Below are 12,052 nucleotides of genomic sequence, written 5' to 3' on the forward strand. Positions count from 1 at the left end.
ACATAGCCTGGGTGCTAATCCAGGCTTTGGCATGCAAGCAGGCCGTGTGTCTCAGCTAAGTCCTGTCACCCTCTGAGCTCAGATTTCTCATCTGTCAGGTAGGGTTGAAACCACTAGCCTCCCATGGTGAGACGGCATGCATGAGTGCGCACCCAGCAAGCACTCAATACTTGCACCTGCTTCCCTGGCACATTGGAAGGGCTTTGGGAGATGAAGGGTGACAGTCTTTTCTTCTCTGTTCCCAAAGGAAGCACCATGAGTGGGGGATCTCCAACCCCTTGGCAGTCTATCTCTGGGGACAAGTGATTTTTCTTTTTTCTTTTTTTTTTGAGACATGGTCTCGCTCTGCTCTGTCACCCAGGTTGGAGTGCAGTGGCGTAATCTTGGCTCACTGCAACCTCTGCCTCCTGGGTTCAAGTGATTCTCCTGCCTCAGCCTCCCAAGTAGCTGGGACTACAGGCATGTACCACCACACCTGGCTAGTTTTTGTATTTTTATTTTTATTTTTTTTGGTAGAGACAGGGTTTCACCGTATTGGCCAGGCTGATCTTGAACTCCTGACCTCAAGTGATCCATCCGCCTTGGCCTCCAAAAGTGCTGGGATTACAGGCGTGAGCCACCGCGCCCGGCCGGGACAAGTGATTTCTATAAACACAGAGTCAAGTTCCATCCCCCAGCCCTCGCCTCTGTCTTGGTTCTACTTGGTGCAGCTCTGGGAGCTTCTTTGGCTTCACTTCCTATCGTTTCCTGTCACCTGCTCACTCACTCCTGCCACACTGACCTTGAGTGTACCTGAACACACAAAGCTTGCTCCAACTTCATGACCTGTGCACTTGCTTTTTCCTCTGCCGGGATCTCCCCCAAGATCTCTGCAGCTTTTTCATCATTTAAATCTCACTTCAATGTTACTTTCCTCAAGAACCTTCTGATTATTTAATCCAAATTATACCTGTCCATTCACCCAGCCAACACTCTCATCACATCCTTGTTTTATTCTCTTGTAAGTACATTAAATGATATCGAAGAAATGTTTAAATAGCTTTCTGAATGTGTAAAACAAACCAGAAAGTCACTAAAGCTTAATGTTAAGAGTTAAGACAATCAAACTACCAAAGAAGAGGAAAAGCAAACATTGTGACATTGTAAATAGGAGATGATGAGAAAGTCTAATGTTTTCTGTGTAAGTCAAAGTTCAGGCAAGATTAAGCCCTGCATGAGTGACAGGTGGTTTCATCTTAGTCAGATGCCACAGTTTAGAGAGGAAAAAGCGCTCATGATAAACAAGATACCTCCGGGAAGATGACATTGAGCTTCTAATTATTCATTCCTCTCTATCCCAGGGCAAACTCCCATTCCCATATGGTTCTCTAAAGACTGTGACTGGGCCTGATCCATCTTTGTGCCACCCCAGTGCCCAGGCCAGGGTATGACACCCACCAGATTTGTTGAACACAGCCAAGCCTCCTATTTCTGAGATGGGCAAATCACTTTATCCACATAAATACTGATTACTACCCCAAAATGCAAGAGTGCCGTGCCTAGGGCTCCTCTGAAGGCTCAACTTTTGATCCACAATGTTCTGAGTTAGGAATTATCCCTATGCTGTTGATTCTATGATGTCTTCCGTCCCTGGACCAGTTGGGATCCAAAAGCTCTTAAACACGGGTGATTTCCTCTTTAAACTCTATGCCTGCAATTCCAACCTTTACCACGAGGTGACAGGATTACACAAACCTTATCAAAACTAGTTTAATCTCTGACTAGTTCTAATTAAAATATGCCCTAAATTAAAACAATATTCATACATATATGTATATATTTTAAAACTTATATTGGCATAGCTTTAAAAGTGTAATACCCACAGTTGGCCAGCATTTGGGGAAATAGACAGCATTTATTCATTGTTGGTGGGAATGTAAATTAGTACAGTCTCCTGGAGGGCAATTTGGCAATACACATCAAAAGCCTTACACATGTGCAAACCCTTTGGTGCAGCAATTCCACTTTTAGTCATTTATTCTAAGGAGATAATCATGGAAATAAGCTATATTTATTCCCAGGATGTTGACTGTAAGGGTGAAAAATTGTCAATATAAATAATTTAACTTTGAGACTAAATAAATGATATATCGGATCAAATACAATGTAGCCATTACATTCTCTAAGGATTTTTAATGATGCAGAAAAGTCTCATGCTATATTTAGTGAAAAAAATAGTACAAAAAAGTATGTCCAATGTAATTGTATTTTAGATTATGAGACTGACGTGCTGCCCACTGCACTAAGAAGGCACTTGTAATTCTATTTTTAAAGCAATAAATATAAAAGCAAACTTGGATATAAGAAATACTAGAACCACCACCAAGATAAGAGGACTTATCTGTGAGTGGCAGAATTAGAGATGCTTTTTCCTTGTGTTTTTCTCCATTGTCCAAATGTTTTACAATAAACATGCTTTTTGTTGTAATCAGAAGAGGCTGTTAATGCATCCTCGGGAGCAGAGAGGACAGGCCAGCCTCTGTACACGGAGGGCATGGACAGGGCGAGCCGGGCCCTTGTCGGCTCTGACTTCCTCAAGTCCACAACCTGCCCCACAGATGTGGGTGGCCCCTATGCCCCGTGTCCTCCAGCCACTCCTATCAGGTCCACACATGGACCTGGTTTCAGCTGAGGCAGCTGGCCTGAGTTAATCCAGAAAAGCACCGACAGTCTCCACCACCAGAGTCTCCTGCCAGACTCTATCCTTGCTCTTAGAAAGTGATAAGATATTGGCACAAAGAGAAAAAAGTAAGTCCTCCCTGAGGCTGGTCCTGAAGTTTACTAAGCTACAAAAAAACACAAAAAACAAACAAACAAAACAAAAAACCAAAAAATGCTTTTTCTAAAACCGACCATTCTCAAAGGTGTTTTTCTTTCCAAATATTGCAAATTTATACTGAGTAGGTTAGAATGATTTCTGAAACCCATCTTTTCTTCTATTGAGACTGTCAACGATGAGGAAAGACAGTGATATTTATAGAAGGGCTGCCACACACAGGACTGGAAATGGCCTCTGTGTCTCACACTCAGTTAACCCCGCTCTGCAGGTGTGATCTCCCCAGGCCCAAGTAGCCTGCCCAAGTCCACACAGGTGACTGACTCAAAGCCACGGTGATCCTCTGCACATGAGGGGCCTCCGAGGTGGCCCAGGCCCTTCAGCACGAGGCAGTCACCCCAGCCTCTGGGATGACCACATGGAGCCATCTGCAAATATACCCCAGGCTGAGAGCCGGGCAGAGCCCTCCTGTCCTCCACAGGCCAAGAGATAGGAATTTCCACTCAGGACTGGGCCCCAGGAGCCTGCGAAAGGTCCTCCCCTTCCTCGAATGGGGAAGCTGAGCGGGGTGTCTGCCCCACCCTGTGGGTCTCACGGAAGGAGTGGCCCAGGTGGTGGTGTGAGAACGAGGGGTCTGGAGGCACACAGCTGGTCTTGCTCCTGGTGCTGGCGACGTGAACGCCCTGAATCCAGCCCACCCAGGGAAGACGCCTACCTCCGTGTGGAAATGGGGGTCTGTGTGTAAGCTGGGGCTGGGCGACCTCAGGAAGAAGGCCATCATGGGCTGTGATACCAGCTTCCTGGAGACGTTGACAGGGTGCCCTCATCCCTCACCAGGCCCAGCCTGCTCAGGCCTCCCAGTGACTGGGGAGCTGCTGGTAGGACCAGGGGCACGGCTGCCAGAGCTGCCTACACAGAGGAAGTGGGGGGGCTTGCTGGACCCCAGCTCTCTTCCTTCCAAGAAAGCTCCCAGTGTCAAGCCTGAGGGACGCCCGCGGGGCTCCACACACATCCTTCTCTCCGTTCCCAGCCCCGACAGTCACAGCGCCCCTTCTCCAGGCCAGGCCCAGGTGTGAGGGAGCCCGATACCACCCCCACACTCAGCTTCGTCTTTAATTCCCGACAGTCCTGTCATGGCCCCAGGGACAGCAGCCCCGGGTTTGGCCTGGCTCGCGTTCTGGGTGCTCTAAGCCAAGGGGCTTTCCTTTCCCCAGGCTTCACAGCGAGTGAGCTGCAGAGATGAGAGCCACGCCCAGCTACTCCATCCGCACCCAGCCTCCTGCCTGTCGGCCACAGGGCCAGCTGCCGGCACCCAACTGGGTCCTGGGAGGAAGGAGTGAGGGAGAAGAGGCCTCTGTGGGACGCAGACCCTGGCACCTGCTCTGGTGTGGCTGAGAACAAGCCCCCTGCCCCTCCCCCGGGGCAGCAGGCAGCATCCTCTCCGATGCTCGAGGCTGGTGGGGAACGGACCGGACCGCTGGGTCACTTTGCTCAGAGGAAACAATGGAGAAGAGGGGGAGGAAACCACTCATCTACACCCCACCCTCTCCCCTCTGGACCTGTGAATACAGAGTAACCCGGGGTGAAGGGAACTGCGTCATGCCAGGAGTGGTTCTGTTAGTCTCCGGTCCTCCCGAGCCGGTACTGGTACAGCGAATAATGCCAAGATGCGGGGCTGAACTTTCCAGCGAAAGCCTGTGCTTCCCCAAGATGCTGGACGCCCAAAGGTCCGGGCTGCCGTGTGCAGGAGACGGGAGCCTGACCCTTGCCTAATCAGAAGAGCAGCTGGGGACTGCGGCAGGGCCCTAACCCCAGGTGTGCCATGGGATGAGGGTGGGTCCCAGCTGGTTTTCACATTTCATTCTTACTTCCGCAGAGTCTGAGAGGCCAGGCTGCTCATTGCTGGGGGAGCTGCCCGGACTGCCTGGGAGATCCCAAACTTGACTCAGCCCAGCACGGGGCCACTCCAGCATGAAGTCAATGTTCCCCAGAGTTACCACCAAGTCCTGGAGGGCTGGGTTTGTGACACATCATGTGCCTTCATCTCTGCATTCACAGAGCAGGAAATTGAAGCTCAGCGAAGGTGAGCACCTTCTCTTAAGGTCACTCAGCCGAGAGGAAGCAGAGTGGACCCCACGTCAAGTCTCCCTGGTGCTGGGGCTGGCCTCCTCTCCTCCGCTGCAGGACCGGGGACCACCGCTCTCTATCACCAGCCGTCCTGACTGCACAGATCTGTCCCGAATCAGCCAGCATTTCCCTCCCTGCATCTTCCTGCCCTGGAGGCACAAAATGAATCTGCCCCTCCCCTGACGGCCCTGCCAATCTCTTCTGCTGCTGGGCTCCCCCTACTCTTTCTGACATCCCAGGACCTCCGGATGCTGCTGCCACGACCCTCAACCCCCGCACAGGACCTGACAGCGGCACAGCCACGCTGCGTCTTGCTGCTGACGTGGTGCTCACTTGGCCGGGGCTAGGACATCTATCCCAGGAATGCGCTAGCTTTTGGGTTAATTTTAAGAGATCTGCCAAGGGATGACACCACAGCCAAACTGGAACCAGCCAGTCTCCTGTTATCGAGTGATGACGAGGAGCGGTGGCTGGGACAGGGAGTCCTCTGCCCACTGGGAAGAGGCCCAGCCCTCCAGTGGAGCACGCCACAGTGCGGGGGCTGGACTGTTGGCTCTTGGCTGGACTTACTGAAGAAGCAGTGGCAGGTGGATTCAGTGCCACCCAGACACCTGCTCGAGGTGCTCTGCCTTGCCTCCAGGGCAGCCCTGGAGATCTGTGCAGCCTTTACCTCCCCAGAGCTCACGCTAATCGCCTCCACAGAAAGACCACGGCTGCTGAGGAGCAGAAGAGACAGGAGCGCAGACAGAGTTAAATCAAGGCTCAGGGAAAGAATATTGGTTTAAGAGAAAAGGGTGAAGAGAGCAAAAAAATAAATGACAAATTACCGGGTAGCCATCTCGTCCTGATTGCCCCTGTGGTAATTAATATGTCATTAATAATCAGAGTTTCGGCAGAAACCATATGGCAACACTTAGAGCTCAATCAGGGCCCAGACCCACACCCGCCCCCCGACAGCTGGTTGGTGACTTCCTCTGCAGCGGGAGGACTCAAGGGCTCCAGGGGTCTTGGGGGCAGAGCAGCCCTTTCCTGCCTCAGAGGGCCAGGCTGGAGGGACCAAGAGCCTCAGGGCTTCATCGGGGCTCCGGGCACAGTCACATGTGTGCCCTCCCCACGCTGGCCAGGCATAGGGTAAATGCCACGTGGGGACGTGGGGTTCTGGAGGGTGCAGCCACAACCACACGACCAACCAGGAACTGAAAATGCTCCTTAAACTAGGCCTGGAAGAGAGCCTGTTTCCTCTCAGTTGCCACTGGGATGGGGTGAACCAAGAAAGAGAGCCTTAGAAGCCAGGAATATCGGGGGGCGTTCACTGTGGCTGCATGCTTCTCTGCCCCCTAGTTCCAGACCCTGGAGCAGTGACCACCCTGCCTGTGTTCCACACTTGGGCACCCATCTCCCAGGTCAGACCCTTCCAGGTTGCAGCTTGAGAATTTCTGCATTTGTTTAATTCATTTACTATTTTAACTGCCAAGTTAAAAAAGAAACAAAAAAAACACTCTATAGCCCCCGGCGTTAGGTACTTCAGCAAGTTCACACACGCTAGCCTCCCTGAGACAGCCAGGAAGAACTCAGCTGCCAAACATCGCTTGAAGCCAATAAATCAACACAATCCTGCTGTCTTGCTTGGCTCACGGTGGGGCTGCATGCACCGAGAAGCCCAGATTCCGAAGGGCACTGATCGGGAAACCAATCATGGTACACGGAAGTAAAAAATAAAAGGGCTCATCTGAAAGGAATTCCTTGAGAAGGCTGATTTTGGCTCTGACTGTCAATGTGCTTCTTGAGTGGATTAACTGGGATTTACCGGGCTCTGAAAAACTGACAGCATGAATCAAAGGCAGGCACATCCTTTGCCCTGGAGAATGAATGGGATTTCTAGGACCACTTGCAATCCCCTGCATTCAAACCTGCCTCTGGCCGGCCAGGAGAAGTTCAAGGGAGCTGCCCAGTGCTTCCCTCATACCCTTCACACCCCTCACAAATGCAGTGACATTTTCCTCCTGCTCCAGTGCCATGCCCTCACCAGCCAGGTGTGCTCACAAGGTCTCAGCTGTCTGATCCACATTCTGGCAAAGAAGAAAAATGAACCCCAGGGTCTAGTGGTCAAGCCCGACTAATTCCTGGGACAACTGCCCGACTCTACAGCTCTTTCTGCCAAAGCACGGGACACTGAAGCATTTAGAAACGTCAACTGTCACGGAGCATTTTAAAGCTACGGACATGGTGCTAGCATTTCCGTGTACCAAGGTGAGCCCAAGATTTGGTGAGGAACAACCAGGCTTGTGCGCTGGCTCTCTTGCTAGGAAAATGGTCACAGAACGTTCCGGCGAACAGGTCAAGCCTGTGGAATTCTGTGCCTGCATTCATCTACAAATTAAAATATAACATGACTCCTGTATGACTGATTTTTTCCCCCCAAACACATGAGTTTTTGTTTTTGTGTTTGAGACGGGGTCTCATTCTGTCTGCTGCCCAGGCTGGAGTGCAGTGGTGCGATCTCGACTCACTGCAACCTCTGCCTCCTGGGTTCAAGCAATTTTTCGTGCCTCGATTTCCTGAGTAGCTGGGGTTACAGGCACCCGCCACCACGCCTGGCTATTTTTTGTATTTTTAGTAGAGACGAGGTCTCACTATGTTGGCCAGGCTGGTCTCAAACTTCTGATCTCAAGTGATCTGTCCACCTTGGCCTCCCAAAGTGCTGGGATTCCAGGCGTGAGCCACCGCACCTGGCCACTTTTTAATAGGACTGATGTTTTCTGAGGACACACCTCCCTAACCAAAATTATGTTCATGGAATTGCAACAGAGAGAGAACCAAACATCTTATCTTTCAGAAGCAGACAGCACAGTCCAGGACACTTACTGGAGGACCTGCAAAACACAAGCAGAGAAGCCACAGTCAGTGTGGAAGGCAGAGTCCCCTCGCCTGTCCTCAGCACGGTCCCCTCACCTGTCCTCAGCACGGCTCCTGGCCACCTCTCCCCGGAAGGCTTTGATGCTGCCATGGCTGTTTCCTGCCACGGCCTGAAGCTGGGGGCAGAGCAGAAGGAGCACCTTTGCCCTTGGAGGGGCCGGGATGGTCACGGGGGTGGTGGTGACAGTTCCCACATGCATGGGTGCATGCATTCATGTCACCAGGCAGCTTTGGGTTCTGGCACTGAGTAGGAATTGGAACATGTTCCTACTTAAAGGACAAGCTCTGGTGCTCCTGAGGGGATGGTTTATTTCTATTGAGGGCAGACTGGGGGAGCAAACATTTTGGACAGAGAGAATACTGGGAGGAATGGCAAATGGGTGTGGCTGAACAGGCTTTTTGGGGGAGGGGGCTCCTGCTGCCCAGCTCCAGGGTTAGAAATGCATGAGGAGTAGCAGGGCCTGGGGCTGCAGCTGAGGCTTGTCTACCAGATGAGGGCTCACAGAGAACCCTTATGAGGCCCACAGGGGCTTCACCTCACAGCTTGTGAAGCATGTTGCATACTCGTTATTGCATTTGACCTTCCCAACCATCTTTTGTGAGAGGTCTGATGAACATCTCCACTGGACAGCTGATAACGCAGAGGCTCACAGAGCAGCGACTTGTGTGGGGCCACATCGTTGATTATGGTGGAGTGAGCGCATGCTGGATGGAAGGAGGTCTCCCAACTCTACCACCCCTAGGCTCTGTGCACTAAGCCACGCGGCTGCCAAACCAGACCCCGAACCTCACTCGAGAATGAGGCCACACGGGGAGGCAGCACCCGGCAGTCAGCGGCCAGCACGATTTATACGTCCCAAGTATGAGCCAGGAGCCATGGGGGTAACTAACGGGACCAGTAGTGAGTGCAAGAGGCAAGAGCCCTGGCTCATGAATGTTGACTGAGCAGACAGATCCTTAAGAGGACATTACACAAGGAGAAGGCCAGGAAGCTCCATGCATAGCACAAGGGCCCTGACCCAGGCTGGGCCGAGTCCAGAGGGTGAGAAAAGAGGAGGGAGGAGTGTTGCAGAGATGGACAAGCTCAGAACATGCCAAGATCACGGGCTTTTGAGGATCCAGGAGAAGTGAAGGCTGCTGCAGCAGCGGGAGGGCCGGAGAAGGCAGGGCCAGCCAAGCCCGGGGGTTTGTTTCCATGTAATGGTCTGGGGGGCTTGGTTCTAAGGGTGAAGGGGAGTCAGCGAAGGGCTCTGCAAGGAGGAGCGATGGGGAGGGGCAAGAGTGCACCTGGAGATGCGCTGAGGTGTCCCCATGCAGGTGCTGGTGGGTGAGGGGGGAGTGGAGAGAGTCAGAAGATGTTGGTCAGGGGAGAGATGGGGCTCGCACAGTAGCGATGCATAGAGGAAGGAGAGAGATGACAAGGATTTTTGGCTTGAAACACTGATGTACTCACACCCCAGAATGATGACATGGGGGACAGTGCTTTCCCCAAGTCTAGATCAGGGCGGAACAGAGCAAGATGCTGGCAGCTTGGACATCCCATTGAGCTGACTCCTCACTGTCAGCCAATGACCTTGATTCCTATTTTCCAAAGCAAACAAAAGCTGCCGGATAGGTTCGCCATCGCCTTTCCAACACCAGTTGTATACATCTGTGCCTGTACCTGTGCCTGGACCTGCACCTCAGCCTGTGCCTGCATCTGTACCTCCCCCGTGCCTGCGCCTGCATCTGCAACTATGCCTATACCTGTACCTGCCTTTCCACCTGCCCCTCCTCCTCGATCTGTTCCTGCACCAGCACTTGCGCCTGTGCCCGCACCTGCCCCTGCACCTGCCCTCCTCTCCATGCCTTCAGGTTAACTCGGAAGAACTGACCCACCTTCAATTAGGCCACTGTCCCCTCTGTATTGCCCAGAGCCTGGCCCCATCTACGGTCCCTCTGGATCTTAGTCACACTTGCCCTCTCATGCAAGTCCTGCCCAACAGCTCTGAAACATGCTCTAATTCCTCGGCTGGCAAAGCCATCCCTTGATCACACACCCCGTTCTATTCCTGCCCTTCCTCTGCTCTCTCCCTCACAGCAAGAAACAGTGGGAGGTGGCTTTAGAGGGGCAATGTGGGGCAATTGGGTAGGGCCTTGAGCAGAGAGAGGGTGAGACCTGGCTCATATTTTAAAGATCCCCGTGTGGGGTAGCAGGGGTAGAACCTGGAGGCTACTGCATGCTGCAGGGGAGAGAGGACAGTGGCTCACAGCTGGTGGTGGCAGTGGAAGTGGTGGACGTGGTTGGGTTCTGGATTGATTCTGACAGCACAGCCAAGAGGATCTCCCTAGTTTTGGCTTCAGCAACTGAAAGGATGGGGCTGCCGTCAACAGAGGTGGGGAGATAGTAGTGGGGCAGGCTTGGCTGAAGGGGTCAGAAGCTTGGCACACGTGGCACTGCTGCAAGTTAAAGAGAAGATCAAGAAGTCCTGGAAGCAAAGTAGAGAAAGTGTCTCAGGAGGGAGTGATCGCCTGTGCACAGGACGAAGTAACTGCCCTGCTGATGGGTCAAGTAAGAAGACCAGGAACTGGATGTAGCAATGCAGAGGCATGTCCAGGGAGTGACAGGAGGGGGGTCTGATGGGAGAGGGTTTCAGAGAGAAGGGGGTTGAGGGATGTGGACAGTGGGTGCTTTGGAGGAGCTCTGCTGCAAAGGGGAGGAAATGAACAGTTGCTTTGTGGGAGTGGGGCCTGGAGATGGATATGGGTATTTCTTTAGGATGAGAGACATGGCCACATGTTTGTAGGATGAGAGTGGTCCAGCAGAGAGAGAGGATTCGGTGTGGGGGAGGAGGGGAGAGTCCTAGAGCCACATTCTTGAGGAGGTGAGAAGGGCTGGCTCTTGGCGCTGGCACAGATGGGGGCCTGGACAGTCCATCTGTGGAGATGGCAGGAGGAAGAGTGCCTGGTGCTGCTAGGCATGTGCCATGGAGGTGGGAGTTCGGGCAAGTTCTCTTCTGATTGTGCCAACTCTCTCAGTGAAGCAGGAAGCGAGGCCGTCAGCCTCAGGTGATGATGCTGCAGGAGGTGTTCGGGGACTGAGCGGGAGAGGCTGAGTGGGTTGGACAATGTGGCCTCAGCCAGGCAGCAGAAAGGGCCACGGGGGCTGGGGGTGTTTCTCTCCAGCTGGGTAATCTGCACGCACTGGAGTGGAGCATGTGGAGGGGACTGGGTTCAGTCTGGGGTGGGGCTTTTGCTGAGTAAGAATGAGGGAGGAGGGAGGGGCAGGGAGGTCTGGCATGGGGAAGCTGGCAGGATTCCAGCTGGAGGGGTGAGGGGCAAGGGGCTGGGATCCATGGATCTGAAGGCTGGAGATGGAAGGGTTGTGGGGGTCAGGAAGAGGGAATGGGCTGGAATTTGTGAACTGAGAATTTGTGGATGCTGCATTTATATCGGGCAAGACCTCTGGAGGGACAGGCTGTTGTCAGAGGAGGCCAAGTCTATCAGAGGAGAGGAGGCCACGGAGTCCAGAGGCCAGGCTGTGTAAGGGGCTTCTACGTGGCTATCAAGATTCACAGGAATTCACCCAGAAGTACTGTGGGAGAGAGGGCTGGTGACCCAGGGGCTGGAACCGACTAGCAATGAGGTGGGTGCACGTGGGATCAGAGATGGCTTCTAGAATGACACCCCATCACCACCCCAGTCTCCCATTCTGGGGCCAGGGTCATAGTTCTCAAAATGCAGATCTGATCCTGACACTTCCCTCCTCACTGTCTTGTTCCTAAGACAATGGCCCGAACCCAGTGGTGCCTTCCACGTGGTGATCTGCCTCCCCAAATCACTACCGAGCTCCCTCCCCAAATCACTACCGAGCTCCCTCCCCAAATCACTACCGAGCTCCCTCCCAAATCACTACCCAGCTCCCTCCCCAAATCACTACCGAGCTCCCTCCCCAAATCACTACCGAGCTCCCTCCCCAAATCACTACCGAACTCCCTCCCCAAATCACTACCGAGCTCCCTCCCAAATCACTACCCAGCTCCCTCCCCAAATCACTACCGAGCTCCCTCCCCAAATCACTACCGAGCTCCCTCCCCAAATCACTACCGAGCTCCCTCCCCAAATCACTACCGAGCTCCTTCCCCAGTGCCCCACACCTGAGCCTCTGGAAACAGTAAGGAGAGATGTGTTATAACCACTAGTTATCACAAAAAA

General features: G+C 53.0%; 1 protein-coding gene across 11 annotated transcripts in view, besides 3 other annotated features; it reads right to left on the reverse strand.

Annotated features, from left to right (window-relative positions):
- The window catches only part of COL23A1 (collagen type XXIII alpha 1 chain), a 352,776-nt gene that overhangs the window by 44,937 nt on the left and 295,787 nt on the right, over positions 1 to 12,052 (reverse strand). For 8 of the 11 annotated variants that reach the window (XM_006714934.4, XM_006714935.4, XM_047417869.1 and 5 more), the window contains exons 4-5: positions 7,808 to 7,815; positions 5,770 to 5,796 (exon numbers count right to left, since the gene is read on the reverse strand). In XM_006714934.4, coding sequence (XP_006714997.1) covers positions 5,770 to 5,796; positions 7,808 to 7,815 — 35 coding nt within the window. The remainder of the gene's footprint in view (positions 1 to 5,769; positions 5,797 to 7,807; positions 7,816 to 12,052) is intronic. The other 3 variants (XM_011534691.3, XM_011534690.3, XM_011534688.3) reach the window with 1 other exon arrangement.
- Positions 3,538 to 4,083: an enhancer, noted in NCBI's record as "H3K4me1 hESC enhancer chr5:177713093-177713638 (GRCh37/hg19 assembly coordinates)". NCBI's record gives its function as "activates a minimal SCP1, AML or CMV promoter by ChIP-STARR-seq in naive H9 embryonic stem cells {active_cell/tissue: H9 hESC(naive)}" and the evidence as "EXISTENCE:reporter gene assay evidence [ECO:0000049][PMID:30033119]".
- Positions 4,084 to 4,627: an enhancer, noted in NCBI's record as "H3K27ac-H3K4me1 hESC enhancer chr5:177713639-177714182 (GRCh37/hg19 assembly coordinates)". NCBI's record gives its function as "activates a minimal SCP1, AML or CMV promoter by ChIP-STARR-seq in primed H9 embryonic stem cells {active_cell/tissue: H9 hESC(primed)}" and the evidence as "EXISTENCE:reporter gene assay evidence [ECO:0000049][PMID:30033119]".
- Positions 4,628 to 5,172: an enhancer, noted in NCBI's record as "H3K27ac-H3K4me1 hESC enhancer chr5:177714183-177714727 (GRCh37/hg19 assembly coordinates)". NCBI's record gives its function as "activates a minimal SCP1, AML or CMV promoter by ChIP-STARR-seq in primed H9 embryonic stem cells {active_cell/tissue: H9 hESC(primed)}" and the evidence as "EXISTENCE:reporter gene assay evidence [ECO:0000049][PMID:30033119]".

This window comes from Homo sapiens, chromosome 5, assembly GCF_000001405.40.
Source record: "Homo sapiens chromosome 5, GRCh38.p14 Primary Assembly".
NCBI classification, from domain to species: Eukaryota; Metazoa; Chordata; class Mammalia; order Primates; family Hominidae; genus Homo; species Homo sapiens.